Raw genomic sequence first — 20,713 nt, 5'->3', positions numbered from 1 at the left:
TAAACTTGCTTTCACTTTGCACTGTGGACTCGCCATGAATTCTTTCTTGCTTGATATCCAACAACCCTCTCTTGGGGTCTGGATCAGGACCCCTTTCCTGTAACAAAATTGTTTTCCATAACAGCTAGAATAGGGTGAAGCTTTACCTTGGCTGTCTGCATTCAAGTTAAAATACCAAGTACAATTTAAGATATATTTGTAACATGGAGAATTCTCCCAGCTCCCTGTCCATTGTCCCTGAAAGGACAAATACCTATTAAAAATAAGAGGCTTAATTCTCCGTGTTGAAAATAAGGGAAGAGACTGCCCTCTCCTTCTTTTTCTCAGAGAACTTTTGAATTGTACATTAATCCTCCTAAAGACTAAAGAGGCCATTTGTCAGCTTTATGACTTAGGAATGTGTTTCTCAAGGACATGGGACCCATCTCTTTGAAATGTAATCATCAGGAAGAATAGCACCCCTCTCCCAGCTTCTGAGGAAGGGTGAGAGCCTAACTTCCACAGGCCTCTCCCTCCAGTTGCAGAACTGCCTCCTGTCAAAAATGTAACTGCCAGGCTGAGGCAGGTGGATCACCTGAGGTCAGGAGTTTGAGACCAGCCTGGCCAACATGGTGAATCCCTGTCTCTACTAAAAATTCAAAAATTAGCCAGGCACAGTAGCAGACACCTAGCTACTCAGTGTTGTGGGAAGTCAGGGACTCTGAATGGAGGGACCAGCTGAAACTGCGATAGAAGAACATAAATTGTGAAGATCTCATGGACATTTATCAGTTCCCAAAATTAATACTTTTATAATTTCTTATGCCTGTCTTTACTGCAGTCTCTGAACATAAATTGTGAAGATTTCATGGACATTTATCACTTCCCCAATCAATACTCTTATAATTTCTTATGCCTGTCTTTAATCTTTTAATCCCATCATCTTTGTAAGCTGAGGATGTATGTCGCCTCAAGACCCTGTGATGATTGCGTTAACTGTACAAATTGTTTGTAAAACATGTGTGTTTGAACAATATGATATGAAATCAGGGTACCCTGAAAAAGAACAGTGTAACAGTGATTTTCAGGGAATGAGGAAAGAAAACCCTAAGGTCTGACTGCCTGTGGGGTTGGGCAAAATAGAGCCATATTTTTCTTCTTGCAGACAGCCTATCGATGGACATGTGAGTAAGAGAATATCGCTGAATTCTTTTCCCAGAAAGCAATATTATTAATTAATACCCTTGGAAAGGAATGCATTCCCAGGGGTAGGTCTATAGATGGCCGCTCTGGGAGTGTCTGTCTTATGCAGTTGAGAAAAGGACTGAAATACACCCTGCTCTCCTGCAGTGCCCTCAGGCTTACTAGGATTGAGAAATTCCAGCCTGGTAGATTCTAGTCAGACCGGCTGTCTGCTCTCAAACCCTGTTTCCTGTTAAGATGTTCATCAAGACAATGCGTGCACAGCAGGACACAGACCCTCATCAGTAATTCTAATTTTGCCCTTGCCTTGTGATCTTTTATTGCCCACTGAAGCATGTGATCTTTGTGACTTACTCCCTGTTCGTACATCCCTTCCCCTTTCAAAATCCCTAATAAAAACTTGCTGGTTTTGTGGCTCGAGGTCGCCATCACGGTCCTACCAATATGTGATGACACCCCCAGAGGCCCAGCTGTAAAATTTCTCTCTTGCACTCTTTATTTCTCAGACCAGCCAACACTTAGGGAAAATAGAAAAGAACCTACGTTGAAATATTGGGGGCTGGTTCCTCCGATAACTTCGGAGGCTGAGGCATGAGAATTGCTTGAACCCAGGAGGTGGAGGTTGCAGTGAGCTGAGATTGCGCCATTGCTTTCCAGCCTGGGTGACAGAGTGAGACTTTGTCCCCGCCTCCAAAAAAAAGTAACTGGCCCATGGGTTCTTTCTGCCACTCCACACATAAAGACCATGGCATTGCAGAAGAGAAAGAGTTTAACGGACACAAGGCCAGCTACAATATGCAGGAGACAGAGTTAGTACTCAAATCAGTCTCCCCAAAGGCCCATTGTTAGGGGTTTTTCAAAAGCAGGTTGGGGGAAGGGGTGGGGATGGCCAGGTAATGGGTGCTTGCTGCTGATTGGTTAGGGCAGAGATGAAATCATGGAGGCAGGGGATGGAAACTGTCCTCTTGAGCTGAATTGCTTCTGGGTGGGTTCCCAGAAGCCAGATGGTCAGGTTCAGGTGGAGCCATGGGTGTCAGTCAGGAAATAAATTTAAAAAAACCTGAAAAGATATCTCAAAAGGCTAATCTGCAATACTGATGTTATTTGCAGGAATGACTGGCAATCATTTATGTCTACACCTTAGTAGAATTCAGATTCCTCTCCTCACCTAACCTGATGGCCTTTCATTAGTTTTACAAAAGCAGTTGAGTTTTGGGAGAAGGGTATTATCATTTAAACCATAAACTAAATGTCTTCCAAAGTTAGCTCAGCCCACAAGCCCAGGAATAATTAAGGGAAAGGCAAGATTGGGGGGTTGGTTTAAATCAGTTCCCTTTCACTGCCATAAATTTCTCACTGTTATAATTTTTGCAAAAGTGGATTCAAAAAGATATGAAAAGTGTGTTTCTTCTCTAGATAAGGCTGATGAGCTAACACAGATGGCCACCCCAATCGCCTGGTGAATTTAAGATGAACTATAAGCAAATGGTGCTGGAACACCCTCTCACTAGTAATTACGTGTCTTGAACACATGCATATGGTTGTACCTTCTTGGCTGTACAAAAGAATAAGATTACCTTTGCAGCCTCTTAGCTGATTGTGTCAGAGGCATTTGAACCAGAGTGACTCCATCTTGAACAGACGCTGGGTAAAATAGGCTGAGACCTACTAGGCTGCATTCCCAGGAGAATAGGCATTCTTAGGCACAGAATGAGATAGAGGTCAGCACAACATACAGGTCACAAAACCCTTGCTGATAAAACAGGTTGTGGTAAAGAAGCCCGCCAAAACTCACCAAAATCAAGATATTGACAAAAACGGCCTCTGGTCAACCTCACTGCTCATTATACACTAATTAGAATACATTAGTGTCAGAGGCATGTGAACCAGAGCAACTCCATCTTGAATGGGGCTAGGTAAAATGAGGCTGAAACCTACTGGGCTGCATTCCCAGACTGTTAAGGCATTCTAAGTCACAGGATGAGACAGAAGGTCAGGACAAGACACAGGTCATAAAGACCTTACTGATAAAACAGGTCGCAGTAAAGAAGCCAGAGAAAATCCACCAAAAACAAGATGATGACGAGAGTCACCTCTGGTCATCCTCACTTACCACACTCCCACCAGTGCCATGACAGTTTACAAATGCCATGGCAATGGCAGGAAGTTACTCTATATGGTCTAAAAAGGGGAAGCATGAAGAATCCACCCTTTATATAGCACATCATCAAGAAATAACTGTAAAAAATAGGCAACCAGGAGCCCTTGGGGCTGCTCTGTCTATGCAGTAGCCATTCTTTGATTCCACTGCTTTCTTAACTTGCTTTCACTTTACTCTATGGACTTGCCTTGAATTCTTTCTTGGATCCAAGAACCCTCTCTTGGGCTCTGGATTGGGACCCCTTTCCTGTAATATCTTCCTGGCAACCACAGAAGGGACTAGAGTGCAGAAACCCCTGACCCAAAGGCTAAGTGGTGGGGTCCTGTAACATTAGCATGCTAAGAGGCACTCCCTCCAGCGTCATGACAGTTCACAAATGCCATGGCAATGTCAGGAAGTTACCCTATATGGGTCTAAAAGGGGGAAGAACCTTCAGTTTGGGGAATTGCCCACTCCTTTCCTGGAAAACTTATCTACCCCTTGTTTAGTATATTATCAAGAAATAACTACAAGTATCCTTAGTCCAGCAGCCCATGCTGCTGCTCTGCCATGGAGTGGCCATTCTTTATTCCTTTACTTTTTTGGTGAGGGGACAAGGTCTAGTTCTATCACTCAGGCTGGAGAGCAGCCGCAGGATGTCAACTCACTGCAACCTCTGCCTCTCAGGCTAAAGTGATTCTCTTGCCTCAGCTTTCCGAGGAGCTGGGACTACAGATGTACACGACCACACCTGGCTAATTTTTATATTTTTTGTAGAGATGGGGTCTCACCATGTTGCCCAGACTGGTCTTGAACTCTTGAGCTCAAGCAATCTGCCTGCCTTGGCCTCCCAAAGTGCTGGGATTACAGGTGTGAGCCACCACACATTCCTTCACTTTCTGACTCTTCCATGAGGCCCAAGAACCTTCTCTTGGGATCTGGATCAGGACTCCTTTCTGGTAACAAATTGCACGTGGTGCACATCACATGCTGATTGAATGCTTATTCTATAATAAAACTGTTTTCTCTATTTTTTTCCTGTTTTTTGTTTGTTTTGTTTTTTCTCTATTCTGTTTTCTTTCTCCACTATTTTTGTAAAGAGGTTATCTGAGTAGGGAGGCGATTTTGTTTTCAATTCTATCACTCTCCCCAAAACTGGAAACCTTACATGTTGGAAATGAGTACTTAAATGTTACCAAAACGTAAAAAAATGGTGGAGCAGTTTAAGCTGAGATCCAATCAAGAATTACTTGAAATTAACATAAAAATAAAGCAGAAAGCCAATTTGCCCAGGTATCTACAACTCCCTCCCCAGCCTTCCGGCCTAGTTAATAGCCGGCTCAGCTACTGTGAAAAGGGAATCCTTTGTTTGCACAAACTGCTGTTTCTTAAGGCCAACATCTGTAAAAACGTTCAAAGCCACTTTTAAAAAACTATAACAATCCACCCCAGCTGCTCCCAGAAGATTCCTGGGCCCGCAACCCGCCACTCCAGCACCGCAGCCTGGCTTCTGCACCTGCGCGAGGAAACTATCTGGGCCCCACAGGAGCCCTTCTGCCCCGCCCCGCGGCCACCTCGGCCTCCGCTCTGCGCCTGCGCTCGGATTGAGCTTTGACCCTTCAGGGAGCGCTGGGCCCTGCGTCACCGCCACCTCGGCCTCCGCTCTGCGCCTGCGCAGGATCCTCTTGGTCCTATCGCGAGTGGTGCAGAGAATGGCGGGATTGGGAGCGCGTCCTGCCAGGCTTTGACCCGCTCCCTCCAACTGCACATGCAGCCGCTGCGGGGACGCCGGGGTTGGGGCTGGGGGCGGGGAAGGAGCGTCCGGGAGTGGGCCGTGCCCCCATGGATTCCAGAAACCCGCGGCCCGGAGTCGCGGGGCGTCCCGAGGGAGACCTGGCCCCTGGTGGGAGGCGGGCGCTCCTCGAGGGCGGGGAGTTGGCGGGAAGAGGACGAGGCCGCGCTCACCGGATTCAGACCCAGAAACCACTTCCTCCAGGCATCCCGGCAAGAAACGGGCTTCGGAGACGGCGGCCACCCCTCTCCCTGCCTAGGAGTGCGCCCGCCGCAGCACCCGGGGCCTGAACGCAACGGGAGCTCCAGAGCCCGCGAGTCCCAGAGCTCAGGATGCAGGATCCGTTCCTCTTGAGGCCTACCTGGGAATTCCGTGAACGTCAAGCCAAAGTGGGACCCTAGGGATTCGCTGACCCGGTTCTGGATTCACGCCAATTGCCTCTCATTTCAGAGAACATTGAGGTAGCCAAGGTTTTCCAGAAGCCTCGCCCACTGCATCTGTGCTCTCCTGCTCGGTGTTTCCTCCTCCAGCACCAAGCTCCGGGTGCAGCCTCCTCTCTACCTGAGATGCGACCTCACACCTCCGTTTGCTCCAGGAGCAGCTCCAGCGGGTCCCCCTCCGCTCCTCTGCACCTGCAGCATCCCCTCCCAGCTGGGGTGCTCCCATTAGCATATTTAAGCACAAGCATACCTGACACCACTGCTGGGAAACACATCCATAGATGTATGGAAAAACTCCTCAAGCTCAGACACTTAGAAAACCCCAAACGAGATTCATCTTCTGAAAATACTCCTGCTGTGATAACAATGGCAGGATCTAATGATAGGGAGAAAATTGCTTCTGCCACATTTCTGTTACCCGTTTGTTCCTGATGTTTCTCCCCAGTATTTGACGATTGACGTCATCCAAGAACCCTTACGGAAGAGGACCTGGTCGCCTGTTTGAACTGAGCTTTCTTAGGGAAGCGGAGCTTTTAATTTACTTTATAGAAATAACTGCGTGTAGTACTCCTAGAAGATGGGAAATCTGAAACATGAAAATTTTCAGTATTTCTCTTCATATGACTTGCAAAAATGAACTCTTTCCTGTACTTAGAGATCTTAAAGTTTCATTGATACATTGAAAACAAAACTAACGTTTTAAATTATATACACACATGCCCATAAACATATACATACTTAACATACGTACATGTTTATATGAAATATCTCACATTTGCATGTATAGACATTATTGAGCAAAAATACCAGAAATAGCCAATGCTTTTGTTTTCTCAATAAAACAATGAAGTCCTTCAGGAACTTTCAAAGGGGTTTACTTATGCATAATTTTGCAGTCACTGGCCTGCTCTAAAGAATGGGGAACACTCAGACTTGCAATGGACAGAAAGGAAGTGCCCATGTATTGCCTTTGCTGTATTAGCCTGTGCCATAATTATCCAGCAATGAAAGAAATAGAGTTGTGATGCTTAAAATAGGGTTGTGGATAAAAGAGAATTTATTATTCTACATTCACAGAATTTATGAATCTCTCCCAATGTCAAGATATTTCTAGCTCTCCTCTTTTTATCCAGCTCTGGAAAAAAGGGCAAAATCATTAAACTCAACTAGGATTCAAACCAAAATCATTAAACTCAACTAGGACTCAAACCATAAAGCACACTTAACTATGGGATCATATCAGTCAACTAGTTTCAGTTTAAATATCACTTGAATTATAAGCTCTACCTCTTTTCTCTTGTGTATAGCTGACTCCTGTACATCCTTCACATTTCAAACAAGTTACTTGCTCTATTCCCAGCATCCATTGCTAGCACAACTCTTAAAATAGAGCACATTCTTGGTAAGTATTTGTTGAAAGAATTATCATTACCATGTGCTGGGCTATATGGGATGATGGATAGATGGGATGATTCAATATTTATTGAAATTAATAAGTCTGTGCTCTGCTTCTTCCAAACCACTTCCTACTCTATAAACAGGAACTCCTCCTATAGCTGTGAGTGAGGGGCAGATATCTACACATATAACTCACTTCGTGCTGGGTGTGGACAAGCCTAGTGTTATACAGATCTGGGCCTCACAGGACAGCAGAGTGAAGTCATGACTAGCCAAGGCCATTAATTCCATTTTTAGAAGAGGAGACATTTGTAAAGTATATAGGGTGACATAAGGTGACTTGTTTATAAGAGAATTTGGGGAACAAGTGGTTCAGGGAACAATTATTTCATCTCTTGTTTCTTTGTACATTACTATCTGCAGGCCTATGAGATGAGAACTGCAGTCTTCAAAATGATGATCATGGGGTATCAAAGAGAGCGAGTTATGATGAGTTATCCTCTACTCCCTACCACAGGAAATGGACCTATCTCATTTAAACTTTACTTCATTAAGATCTAACAATGCAGGACTTTTCTTCTTAATTCTCAGTTCGCTAGAACAAACCCTTCTCTCAGCATTTCTGTTATTAAAGTTCACTGGAATGCTTAAATAAAAGAGGACCCCTACCTTTTATATATTGTAATTAAGCAACAAAGCTGACATCTTTCTAAAATACATATGTGGTAAAGCAGAATCAACATTGCACTAGGAGACTGGAAAAAAACATGAAGGTTTTTGATATATACTACTTATATAAACTTGAGCCATCTTTTTATTTCTTTCAACTTCCATATCCTCAACTGTAATATGGGGCTTAGCCTCTATAGCCAAAAACTGTTTGGGGCTACAAGGAATTAATTAATATGAGAGTCCTTGGATATTTCTAAAATACAATAAAAGTGCAAAAGATTATTATGGTTAAACTGTTTATTTAAATCTGCCATTTACTAGTTTTGTGACTTAATCATTTAACCTGACAGCAATATAGTTAATAGTTATCAAACACTATGTGCCAGGCAGTGTTTAGTGTGCTTTAAACATAATAACTCATTTAAAGGTAAAAAAGAAGCAATGGACAACAAAAAAACCCTACGAACTAGATGTTATTGTCCTAATTTACACATTAGGAAACAGGCATGGGTTAAGTGACTTGCCTTGCCCAAGTCAGACAATTAATGAATGGCAGAGCAGGAAATCAAACCTGGGTAGGTTCCAGCATCCATAACTCTTAGTGAAAAATTCTATACAGCCATATCTGTAAAATAACAAAATACATTATCATTAAAGGAATATTAAATATGGATAAATAATGAGTATTCTACTATATGTGATGTTTACATGATTAACCCCATGTATTAGTTCTCACACTACTATAAAGAAATACCTGAGACTGGCCGGGTGCGGTGTCTCATGCCTGTAATCCCAGCACATTGGGAGGCCGAGGTGGGCAGATCACGAGGTCAGGAGATCAAGACCATCCTGGCTAACACGGTGAAACCCCGTCTCTACTAAAAATACAAAAAAATTAGCTGGGTGTGGTGGTGGGTGCCTGTAGTCCCAGCTACTCAGGAGGCTGAGGCAGGAGAATGGCGTGAACTCGGGGGGCAGAGCTTGCAGTGAGTGGAGATCATGCCGCTGCACTCCAGCCTGGGCGACAGAGTGAGACTCCGTCTAAAAAAAAAAAAAAAAGAAATGCCTGAGACTGAGTAATTTATAAAGAAAACAGGTTTAATTGGCTCATGGATCTGCAGGCTCTACAGGAAGCATAGCAGCTTTTGCATCCGGGGAGACCTCAAGAAACTTACAAACATGACAGAAGGCAAAAGGAAAGCAGGCACATCTTACATGGCTGGAGCAGGAGGCAAAGCGAGAGAGGGGAGGTGCTATACACTTTTAAACAACCAGATCTCATGATAACTCACTCACTCTCGCAAGAACAGCACCAAGGGGATGATGCGAAACTATTCATGAGAACTCCACCCCCAGGATCCAGTCACCTCCCACCGTGCCCCACCTTCAAAACAGGATCACAATTTGACATGAGATTTGGTGGGGACACAGATCCAAACCATACCACCCCTAATCATGAAACGGACTTGTGCACATTAATCAATATGTGTCCTGCTTTCCAATAAATAAGCACATATGTGGCTCATTCATTAATGTTCTAGAAGATGGATCACCTGATGATTAGATCAGTACCAAGCTTCATGACTTACAATGGGGCTATGTCCCAATAAACCCATTGTAAGTAGAAAATGCATTTAATATGCCTAACTTACCAATTATCTTAGCCTAGCTGACCTAAAACATGCTCAGAACACTTACTTTAGCCTACAGTTGGGTAAAACCATCTAACAAGCATATTTTATAATAAAGTGTTGAATATCTCATGAAATTTATTGAATACTGAAAGTGAAAAATAAAATGGTTGTACAGGTACTCAAAGTACAATTTCTACTGAATACATATTGCTTTCACATCATCATAAAGTCAAAAAATCATTAAGCGGAGACGTTGTAAGCTGGGGACTGTCTATATATTTGTTAAAATGTTCTGCCATTAGCCATCAACCAAACAGAAAGTATTCAATTTCCCTGGATTGAAGATCTCTAAAACCAGGATCTCATAGCACCAGATATCAAAGCAGACAGGCAGACACCTGGAGACACGTCTCCTGCAGAGAGAATCCATGAGAGGGCATCAGAGTTCACTTGAGGCTTACTGAGGAGGGAAGAGACACACTGCAGAGGTTTAGCTTAGAAATTGATTTGACTTAGCCAGGAGTTGATTTGTTTTCAAGGAATAGAACCTGCTTTGGCTTGCTGCATAGAAAGGGGGTTTATTAGAAATATGTGTATTACACTTCCTAAAAAAAAAAGTGTGACTGGACCTCACAAGAGCTAGGATTTAGAAAGTAATAACTCCCAATAAACAAGACAGTTCCTTTGTCCATCCTTGTTTCTAGAGATTCCTGATCTCTTTCTTCCTCTGTTTCTCTCTGATTCTCCTCCTCATTCTTTTCTCTCTGTGCAGACAAGCTTTCTCTGATCCCATTGCATATGACTCAAACCTGGCCACCTCGACCCTGGCTTTTTCTTGCAAATGTCAAACAGAGACTGAATAGTAAATCTCTAAGTCTATATTTGCAGGAAACAGATTCTGATAGCTCCAGCTGTGGCCTAAGCCTTCACTTTGATCTAATCATCTTAATGCCAGCCAGCCTCACTACACCTGTCATCCACTCAGCAAAGCATGAGGCAGGAGACTCTATGGAAGCAGCCAGGCTAGAGAGGCAAAGGGAATCAAAAAAAATAGTGCAGTGCAAATACACAGCACCGTGCCCTTAGCATTTCTAACTTTGCAAGGGTGTCTCGAGACCCAGGATTAACATGAAATGCCACACAGGGCTAGTTAAGCTTAAAACTAGTCCATGGGGTCTCACTTACCTGAAGAGGCAGCCAAAAGTCCTGACACCATTGTGTATCCTCCAGCATGGCTGCCAGCCAGTCATCTGAAGATGACATCATGTATATCAAGAAAGAAACTAGCCAGTAACTCCTAGAAATGTGTGTCTATATTTTTCCTGTTCTTAATGAAAAGGAAACAGAAGATAATTTACTGGGTTGATATTTAATATATCGCTCATAGACCCCAGTAATTTGATAAGTATGGAAGTACTCACTTACTCAAGATTTTAAAACAAGATGATAAGTATTTATTGTTCTCCTGTCATGCTTATTCACATCTCCTGAAGAAAAGGCATACAAATCTCATCCTTGAAACGCCAAGAGGCTTAGAATTCCAAGAGGTAATTTCAAAAATGTTGACTGTGAACCTACTATGTACAGTGAAGAGTTGGGCTAGGTTACTGGGACACAAGAGTTGAGCAATAAACTATTTTTCCAGGTGTTCAGGATTGAAAAGGATAGAAATGCTCACTTTAACTCTAACACAAGGCACAGCTTAATGTGTGGTAGAGTCAAAAGGTTAAACAGTATGCAGAAATTAAGGAGAGAACAATTCTGACTTGTATCTATAAAGGCTTTATCGATGTATTCATTATTTCAAATCATCTTTTAGGCTCAGCTCTGAAAACAAAATATGATGCTTGCATGAAGGACATCACTGATGGCCTGGTTGTATGGTCCTGAATGGGAGCATGACACTTGGGGAAACCTGTTTACAGCATGGTGCGCAGCTGACATTTTCTCCTAACTCTGAAATTAATTTCAACCCTGCGTTAATCAAGGTTTATCTTGGTTATATAAACATATTTATCTTTGATGCAAGAAAATACTAATAGCATTAGAATAAAATCAGAATAATGACAAATGTAAACTATGCCATTCATCCCAGTGAAAAATGACACACCAGGGAATAATACTGATGTTGTTTTCTTAACAAAAAACGTTTGAGTTAAAAAGAGGAAAAAAAGAATATACAGGAATGTAAATAATTTAATCATGATCAGGACTAACACCATTGTCAATTTAACCTATTGGCAGCATTTTGGACACAAATTCAGTCTGTAGTAATTACATCTTTAAATAAGCAGTATCCATGCCAAAAACTAGTGTCCCGTGGTCTTGTGGTCAGTGATTATGAATATATCACTGAAGCCTGTGAAAAAGTTCTTCCTGCCACATGTCCTAATCATTAGCAAATACGTGTTTTCTTTTGCCTACTTGAAAGTGGGGAGGGGGCAATCTGGTCTGGATGCAAAGGTATTCCCTTTACAGAAAAATCACAGTTTTACATCATTTATCAGAAGTAATGTGGCTGGGTGCGGTGGCTCACGTCTGTAATCCCAGCACCTTGGGAGGCCGAGGTGGGCGGATCACAAGGTCAGATTGAGACCATCCTGGCTAACATGGTGAAACCCCATCTCTACTAAAAACACAAAAAATTAGCCGGGCGTGGTGGTGGGCGCCTGTAGTCCCAGTTACTTGGGAGTCTGAGGCAGGAGAATGGCGTGAACCCGGGAGACGGAGCTTGCAGTGAGTGGAGATCACACCACTGCACTCCATCCAGCCTGGGTGACAGAGTGAGACACCATCTCAAAAAAAAAAAAAAAAGTAATGCTTACATTTATAAAATCACTTTCAGGGAATGTCCACTCTCATAGTTCAAATGGTTATACATCTCAAGCTTGAAATGATTTATTCCCACTTGATTTAATATTTTCTGGAATATTTCAAATGGATTTTTAAGTTCTCATGCACACAGCTTGTTGTTAAATTATGTAAAGGTGTCACATTGTCATGAAATGCCCAAGTTTGAGGAGGGTATTGAAATGATGCCAATATAAATTACCATAGCAACAAACACATAAATTCATAGCCCAACTTATCCTCTAGGTGCTGAAATCTTTTCCAGCTCTCCAAAGCTCAGGCACAATGCAAATCAAACATTTAGCTGCTGAGAGACTTGGAGTCCAGGTATTCATCAACTCTGACTGCTATTGAATCATTAGGAATACTCAATAATAAATAACAAAAGCCATTTCTTTTAAACTTTCCAGGTGTTAAAAAGCCAGAGATTGTGCACAGTAATTTCACCTGCATAGCATATCTCTATGTCTGTCATACATAGGCTACATTTTGATAATTGATTGTATAAGAAAGAGAAGTCTGCATCCTAGGAAATGATGTTCTCCTTCACTTCTAAATTTCTTTCAGTCTGGCTCACAGCAATGACATCTTTGTCTCCTAGTAATTAATATGAATCAAAGCAGAGTGAGAAGACAGACACCAAAAAAAAAGGAGATATCACCAGCACCATGAGCAAAATATGTAACTAAAAATATATGAGGAAAATATATGAGGCACCAGGAGAATATGCTTTATCTTGTCCTTGTTTGACAGGCACATAAATCTCTCATCGCTGCTCTCATCCAAAACCAAGAGCTAAAAATATGAGGTGGCACCTGTGTTCTTAAACAGTGTTTTATGATGACAACAGCTTTCAAGGGAACAGTGTATTTTTGGTTGAGCATACTGTGCTGTCCCTTCAGACAACAGAAAACTTAGGATCTAGATTTGATTCCAATTGGAAAGTTTTGTAAAGAGCATGTCCTAAGTTCAGCCTTCTCTTTGTGCTTGTAAACAAGGTTATGATATAAATTATCCACTCAAATGTCTCTTTCCCCAGAATTTATCCTGCATCAGCTTTCCAAGCCTTTTGGTGCCTGAGAACCAGGGTAATGGAAGCTCAAAATGTCAGACACTCCTTTTCCCCAAACACACAAATTCTCTTGAATCTTCAAGCAGGAATTTTGATTTAAAACAATAATGTTTCAATATCCTTATTTCTTCGAAAAATTTTTAGAAGAAAATATTTAAAGTGAAAGGCTACATAAAGGATTCATTCATTTTATATTTATATATATATATTCCATTATGTAGTTATATATATGGGGTTTTTTTTTCATACAGGGTCTGGCTTTGTCACCCAGGCAGGAGTGCAGTAGCAGGATCTCAGTTTATTGCAACCTCTGCCGCCTGAGTTCAGACAACCCTCCCACCTCAGCCTCCCACTTAGTTGGGACTACAGGCATGCATCATCATGCCTGCTAATTTTTGTATTTTCTGCAGAGACAGCATTTCGTCAAGTCACCTAGGCTGGTCTCCAACTCCTGGGCTCAAGTGATCCACTCACCTCAACCTCCCAAAGTGCTGGGGTTAGAAGCGTGAGCCACCATGACCGTCCCATCAAATATTTTTTTGAGCTCATGATACATGTTCACAATCCTGTAGACACTGGGGATTCAGAAGTGCATAAACTCTAGGTTCTACCCTCACTGTCCTCACTTTTATAGAGAAAATAAAGCAGAAATAGGGGGGATCAGTCAGGAGGCTGTTGTGTAATTCAGTCAAGAGACATAATGGTGGTTTGGACCAGGTAGCACTGACGTCACCAGAATTGATCAGATTCCGGTTATTTAAAAGTAGAGCTGATGGGATTTACTGATAGACTTGCTGTCAGTTATAAGAAAAAGAGAAGATTCAAGAACAATTGCAAAGATTTTGGCCTGAGCAACTGCATGAATGATGGTGCCATTTAATGAGATAAAACTGTAATAAATGCACTAGGAAGATGAGGATTAATTTTGGATGTGCTCAATTTGAGAAATATTTCATACATCCAATAGAAAATATCAAGAAGAAATTTGGATATATGACTCTAGAGTCAGAGGGATGCCTCCGGCTGGATATATACATTTGAGAAACATTGGTGTATAGATGATGTTTAAAACCACAAGACTCCATGAGAATGTAGATGGAGAAGAGGTCCAAGACTGAGCCTGGGCGCTCTCTGGCGTTGATACTTGGGGAAATAAAGAAAAACTACTAAAGAGGCATGAGGAGGGATCCAAGAGGAAAAAATATTCCACAAGGGTGGGACTGACGAGATGAGGCAGATGGTTTGAGTGTGACGCATCACCATAGTCATGATGTGCATGAACGTTTGTGCCATCAGCTGATGGAACAGAGCAAAAGCACTGGGCTTGGGAACAGTGTCTCAAGCATATAATCATACTTTCTGGGAACTATTGAGTCACTGAGAGATAACAAAATAACAGCACAGAAAGGAACAAACAAGTGATAAGATCTCAGCCTCATATACCAGCTTCCTTTGCATACACCTCCATTCCACTAGGGAACATAATATATCTTTTAAAACATGGCATATGTGGTGGAATAATATTTTTTAATGGGAGCTCATGTATTAAATTTTATCCTGTAATTTTTCTTCCCATTTAGGAAACAGCTAGAGTATTGCATGTTTATTGCTTCAGGGACGATAAGGCATGATGGAAAAAGAAAAACAACAGTTTTATTTTTGCTTTTGCTTTTTACTTTGGGGATTCAAAAAATTGAAGAAGCAACACTTGCAAACTGTTCTTATGAGGCTAACATTAGTCCAATACCAAAGACGGACAATGATACTACGAGAAAACAAAATTACAGGCCAATATCCCTCAGAAACAGAGAGAAAAAAATCCTCAACAAAATGCTAGCAAATGATATTCAATGGCATATTAAAAGGATCATTCACCATGACCAAGTGAAATTTGTTACTGAGATGCAAAGGTTTTTCAACATATGCAAACCAATTAATGTGATATACTGTATTAACAGAATGAAAGATAAAAATCACATGATCACCTCAGAGTGCAGAAAAAAATTTGACAAAATTCAACTTTTTTATAATAAAAACTCTCAACAAAATAGGTACAGAAGGAATTTAGGCCGGGCGAAGTAGCTCACACCTGTAATCCCAACACTTTGGGAGGCTGAGGCTGCTGGATCATTTGAGGTCAGGAGTTTGGGACCAGCCTGGCCAACATGGCAAAACCCCATCTCTAGTAAAAATACAAAAATTAGCTGGGCCTGGTGGCACACACCTGTAATCCCAACTACTTGGGAAACCAAGGCAGGAGAATTGTTTGAACCCAGGAGGCAGAGGTTGCAGTAAGCTGAGATCAAGCCACTGCATTCCAGCCTGGATGACAGAGTGATACTCTGCTCTCACCCGAAAAAAGGAATTTACTTAACATAATAAAGGCTATATATGAATAGCAACTAACAACTAACATCATACTCGTTGGTGAAAACCTGAAAGCTTTTCCTCTAACATCCAGAACAAAGCAAGGATGCCCACTCTTACCACTTGTATTAAACATAGTATTGGAAGCTTTAGCCACAGCAATTAGTCAAGAAAAATAAACAAAGACATGCAAATCACAAAGGAAGAAGTAAAATGATCTCTGTTGGCAGATGACACATGGCAAGAACTCAAATGACTACACAAAAAAGTTCTGTTAGAATGAATAAGTAAATTCCTTCAATAAAATTGCAAATTATAAAATGAACATACAACTATCAGTTCCACTTCTATCCACTAACAAGAAACTATCCAAAAAGGAAATTAGAGAAAGAATACTATTTACAATAGCATCAAAAAAGAATGAAATACACAGGAATAAATTTAGCCAAAGTGGTGAAAAACTTGTACACTGAAAACTACAAAACTACAAACATTAAAGAAGACTTTTTATTTGCAAAACAGAAACAAATATTTCATTCATTTGGAGAGCTACTGTGAAGATTTTATGAAAACAAATGGGGACTTAGAAAGGTTCTTGAAATACATCAAGTGCATAATTAATGTCAGTTATACATCAAGTGCAAAATTAATGTCAGCTATTATTACACACCAGATCTTTTCACCTCTATCTCATACGGTCTCCCTGAAAGATAGGTATGGGGGTCAAGGTTTTAGCTTCAGAAAATCTAGAACCCAATGAAATGAAGCTTGAAATATATGCTAGGGCAACAAAAGGAAGGTAGATATTCCACTGTCTCTTTACACTGATAAGTGTCTATTACTAACCAGACACCATGTAGGATTTTATATAAAACTCAATTCCTACACTCTAATCCAGTTGATTAAATAAATAAAACAATTTTCTATTTTTCCCATTATAGGTCAGTTCGGCACATAACACTTCAATAAGCAGACACAAACTCTATTATAGTATAGCTTTTCCTACTCTTTTTAGAAGTGCCCAACAACATTCTTCAGGCAAAAAATGGAAATATTAGTGGGAGGAAAGTAAGTACACAGAGCTCACCAGGCAAAGTGCTGGCTCCTTTGGGATGAATTTTCCCTCAGCTGAAAGGCAGGTGAAAACACAAGCCTTCTGGAAAATTTATTTTTTCTTGGTGAAAAGATCAGGCTCCATGACTTGAATGCAGAGAACAGCGGTGGAATGAGGTAGCCTTGAGGCTGTCGGTGCAGGGATAGTGTATTAGTCCATTCTTGCATTGCTATAAAGAACTACCTGAGACTGGGTAATTTATGAAGAGGTTTAATTGGCTCATGGTTCTGCAGGCTTTATAGGAAGCATGGCTGGGGAGGCCTCAGGAAACTTACAATCATCTGTGGAAGGCAAAGAGGAAGCAGGTATGTCGCATATGGCTGGAACAGAAGAAAGAGGGAGAGTGGAGAGGTGCTACACACTTTTAAACAACCAGATTTCATGAGAACTCACTTGCTATCACAACACTTTTAAACAACCAGATCTCATGAGAACTCACTCACTATCACAAGAATAGCCAGGGAGAAATCCACCCCCATGATCTAATCACCTCCCAACAAGCCCTTCCTCCAACACTGCAGATTACAATTCAACATGAGATCTGGGTGGCAATACAAATCCAAACCATATCAGATAGGCCTTCACTATATACAATGGGTGGGCAAAATGGGCTTAAAAGTCGAAGAATTAAGGCTTTGGTTCCTATAATAAACTCGGATACTCTTTTGCCACTCTCATGCAGTGCCATTCACCACCCAGGCTTTGAGTCAGAGTCCAGCACAGTAGCTCACTTTGATCTCTGAGTGAACAATGGCTTCGTCTCATTTGAGGAGGAGGGTATATTTGAACCTGTGAAACACAACAGAGGGATCATCTTCCTGAAGTGGTAAGGATGGCCTTAGCCAAGGTTGTCATTGGTGACGAAAGCCTGTGTTTGCTTTGATTCTGCAGGGACTTTACCTTTCCCCTTTTCCTGGGGAAAAAACTTTCTCACTTATGTGGGAAACTAATATTGTAATTCAATACCAGCACCTGGGAAGGGGGCCTAAGTAGCAAGATTTTAAATGTGGAAGGAGGCCCCCTGCCTAGAAAAGCAATTCCCATTTGTTCACAAATGGAAAGGGGAAAAAAGCCTCCTTGAGTCTGGGAAAAGTAGACGTTTTCAAACTATATCTGGAAGCTAGGGTAAAGCTGTAAATAGCTCCTGGGAAGAGAATGTGACTCTACATTCACTTATAAGTAAGTGGGAGTGGAAACCCAGAGCAGGTCTCATAAATGCAGGAAGCTGGAAATGTTTGGAGCTTCCTTTGGCAACAACTGACTAAAGAAAATGTGGGATATTTTCTTGTACCTGGGTCCCTGGAGCTTCCTCTTCTGAGGCCTGTTCTCCAGACTTCTGGTTGATTCTTGGAGCCACCTGATGCTCTCCTGGTTACTTTTCTTATTGCTTAAGATAGCCAGAGATGATTTCTGTTGCTTGGACCAAAGAAGCTTATTGCTTAGAGCAAATACTTCTATCATTTGCTTAAAATAAAAATATCCCCAGTCCTAAATCTTTATTAGACATTTCATGGCTCAAATATCTCATGGAAGTATGGCAAATTGAATTATCAACATGCTAATAAACTAGCCCTAAAACCCTGAAAAGCAAACACAGAATCGGCACAGAAGCCATTGCAATCTAATATGCCACCCACAGGAATGAGCTGGCCCTGTCGGAGTCTTAGAGGGATGTACTGTCCTAGAATGTTCACGGTCCCAGTTCTCACTGACAGAGATGTGGCTCTATCTCATCATGGAGCCAGGAGTAGCCACCATTATGCACATAGTAAACACCACGCAACCAAGGACAAAGTCTCCGCCCCCTCCCCTTCCAGAGAGAGCAGTTGCCTTGACCCTGGGTCTTGTCTGTCACCATCAAATATTAGTCTGCTCCTCAGCAAATTACATAACTTCCTTAAGCCTCAGTCCTTCATCTGTAATGAAGACCCATGCCAGACCCTCCCTCACGGGGGCAGGCTGTGAATATTAAAGATGATTATAATGCAGAACTTCATGTTGGCCCAGATATGTTAAGTGATAATGTAATGTTAACATTATTATAATTTTGGTTATTAAGGAGCACCATAGCATAGTGGTTATAAAAACAGGGTCTAGAGTTAGAGTTCTCATGCTTAAATCTTGAGTTTCCTCTTACAAACTGGGTGAGTTTGGACATGTCTCCTAATCGCTTTGTATCTCAGTTACCACATCTGTATTCCAACAACTCCTGGGTATTTATCCTAGGGAAAGTAAAACTTCTGTTCACACATAAACCTGTGCACAAATGTTCATAGCAGTCTTAATTATAATAGCCAGAAGCCAGAAATAACCCAAATGTCTTTCAAAAGGTGAAAATGTTACCAACACACCAGGGGTTCCATCTAGGTCCTGTTGCTGGCTGCACAGAAAGCCAATCACCAAGACCAGGAGTATTTCCACGGAAGAAGGCTTTAATTGGGTGCTAGAAGGCTTTAATCGGGTGCTCCAAGGAAATGGGAGATCATTCTCAAATCTATCTCCTCAACCAACTAAAATTAAGGGTTCATATAGCAAGGAAGGTATGTCACCATGTACAGGAAAACAGGAATTAGGGAGGGGTAAGGAAGAGGAGTTGGTCAACAGGAAGCAGGCAGTCAGTGAGGAAGTCATGACGGGTGAGGGGCTTGGCATCTCATTGTGCAGGTGCAGTGACCTGGTGAGTTTCAGCTCCTTGATACTCTCTGGGAGGCCTGATGGTCAGTTTCCTGAAAAAAAAAAAATCAGATAGGAAAAATGTAACTTTCTTACATTTCAAGACTGGAAGATTCCATTTCTACATTTATTCAAAAGAAATCATAAATAAACCATCAGTTCTATGGGACAATTGGGCTGGTTTCAAAAGGACAAGTAAGCTGTGGTACATCCTGAGGGTGGAATACTCACTTAGCAAGAAAAAGAAATGAACTATTGATAAACAAATTGAATGGATCACAAGAGTATGATGGTGAATGAAGAAAAGCAATTGAGAGGTCATGTACCATCTCATGTGAATGAACAAGTTATCATGATGAAGCGTAGGAGGCAGAGCTGGGGAGAAGATGAAACTGTGAGGAGGTAGCGTAAGGGGGTTTTTTTTAGGAGGATGGGATATTTTTGTTTCCTGTTTGGGGGCAGTGGTTAAGTGAATCTATACGGGTGATAAAATTTCCTACAACTATTCACCAAAAAAAAAAAAAACAATAAATGCATGTAAAAACTGGTAAAATCTGAATAAGTTAGTAGTGTTGTACCAACATTAATTTTCTGGTTTGTTTTGATAATTGTATTATGGTGATGTAAGATGTTATCACTGGAGGAAGCAGAGGGAAGTGTACCCAGGAACTCTCAGGGCTATTTTTACTTTTAGGTGAGTCTAAAATTATTTCACAATAAAATAAAATGAAATAGCACCCATGTAGGATTGAACTCCATTATTCAGTAAATGGATGGTGCATGGTGGGATGTATATTTCTTGCGATTGGAGTAGACATTTATAGGTAACCAAGAGGAACCTAGAACTATCCATGTGATAATGAATTAGAGTTGGGAACATCAACATGAATTTGTTTACCTTAACAGAGATGACTACATATGGAAATAGCTATAGATACATGTATATGCATGGGTTAGTATACACACATATATTTCCTTGCTCAGTTAGCTAAAAGGGCCTAAAATAAATGATTCATATATATATATATATATATATATATAAAATTTTTTAAAGCAGGCACAGTGGTGCATTCCTGTATTGATGTTGGTAGATCACTTGAGCCCAGGAGTTTCAGTCTGTAGTACACTATGGTCACATCTGTTAATGGCCACTGCACTCTAGCCCTGGCAACATAGCAAGACCCTGTCTCTAAAAAATAAAAATAAAAAATGTTACCCAGTAGCAATGAGCACGCCTAGTCAGATTTTGGTTTCTAATGTCATTCTCCAATAATAGGAGCCAAGATTCTTTGGAGAAATGCTGATAATAAATGTTTATGAGTTTATACTGATAGAAATAAATGATTGAATAAATTCATAAATGAGGGAGAAGGGACAAA

The 20,713-nt window shown here is 41.3% G+C and overlaps 1 long non-coding RNA gene across 1 annotated transcript; it reads left to right on the top strand.

The window, feature by feature from the left end:
• Positions 1-5,154: 5,154 nt before the first annotated feature.
• Positions 5,155-7,906, top strand: LOC124903047 (uncharacterized). Its single transcript, XR_007063511.1, has 2 exons — positions 5,155-6,956; positions 7,376-7,906. It is a non-coding gene; the product is annotated as an uncharacterized LOC124903047 (long non-coding RNA).
• The last annotated feature ends 12,807 nt before the right edge of the window (positions 7,907-20,713 follow it).

Source organism: Homo sapiens, chromosome 12, assembly GCF_000001405.40.
Source record: "Homo sapiens chromosome 12, GRCh38.p14 Primary Assembly".
Classification (NCBI taxonomy): domain Eukaryota; kingdom Metazoa; phylum Chordata; class Mammalia; order Primates; family Hominidae; genus Homo; species Homo sapiens.
The sequence above is the reverse complement of the archived record's forward strand: the minus strand, read 5'-3'. Positions and strand labels throughout refer to the sequence as shown.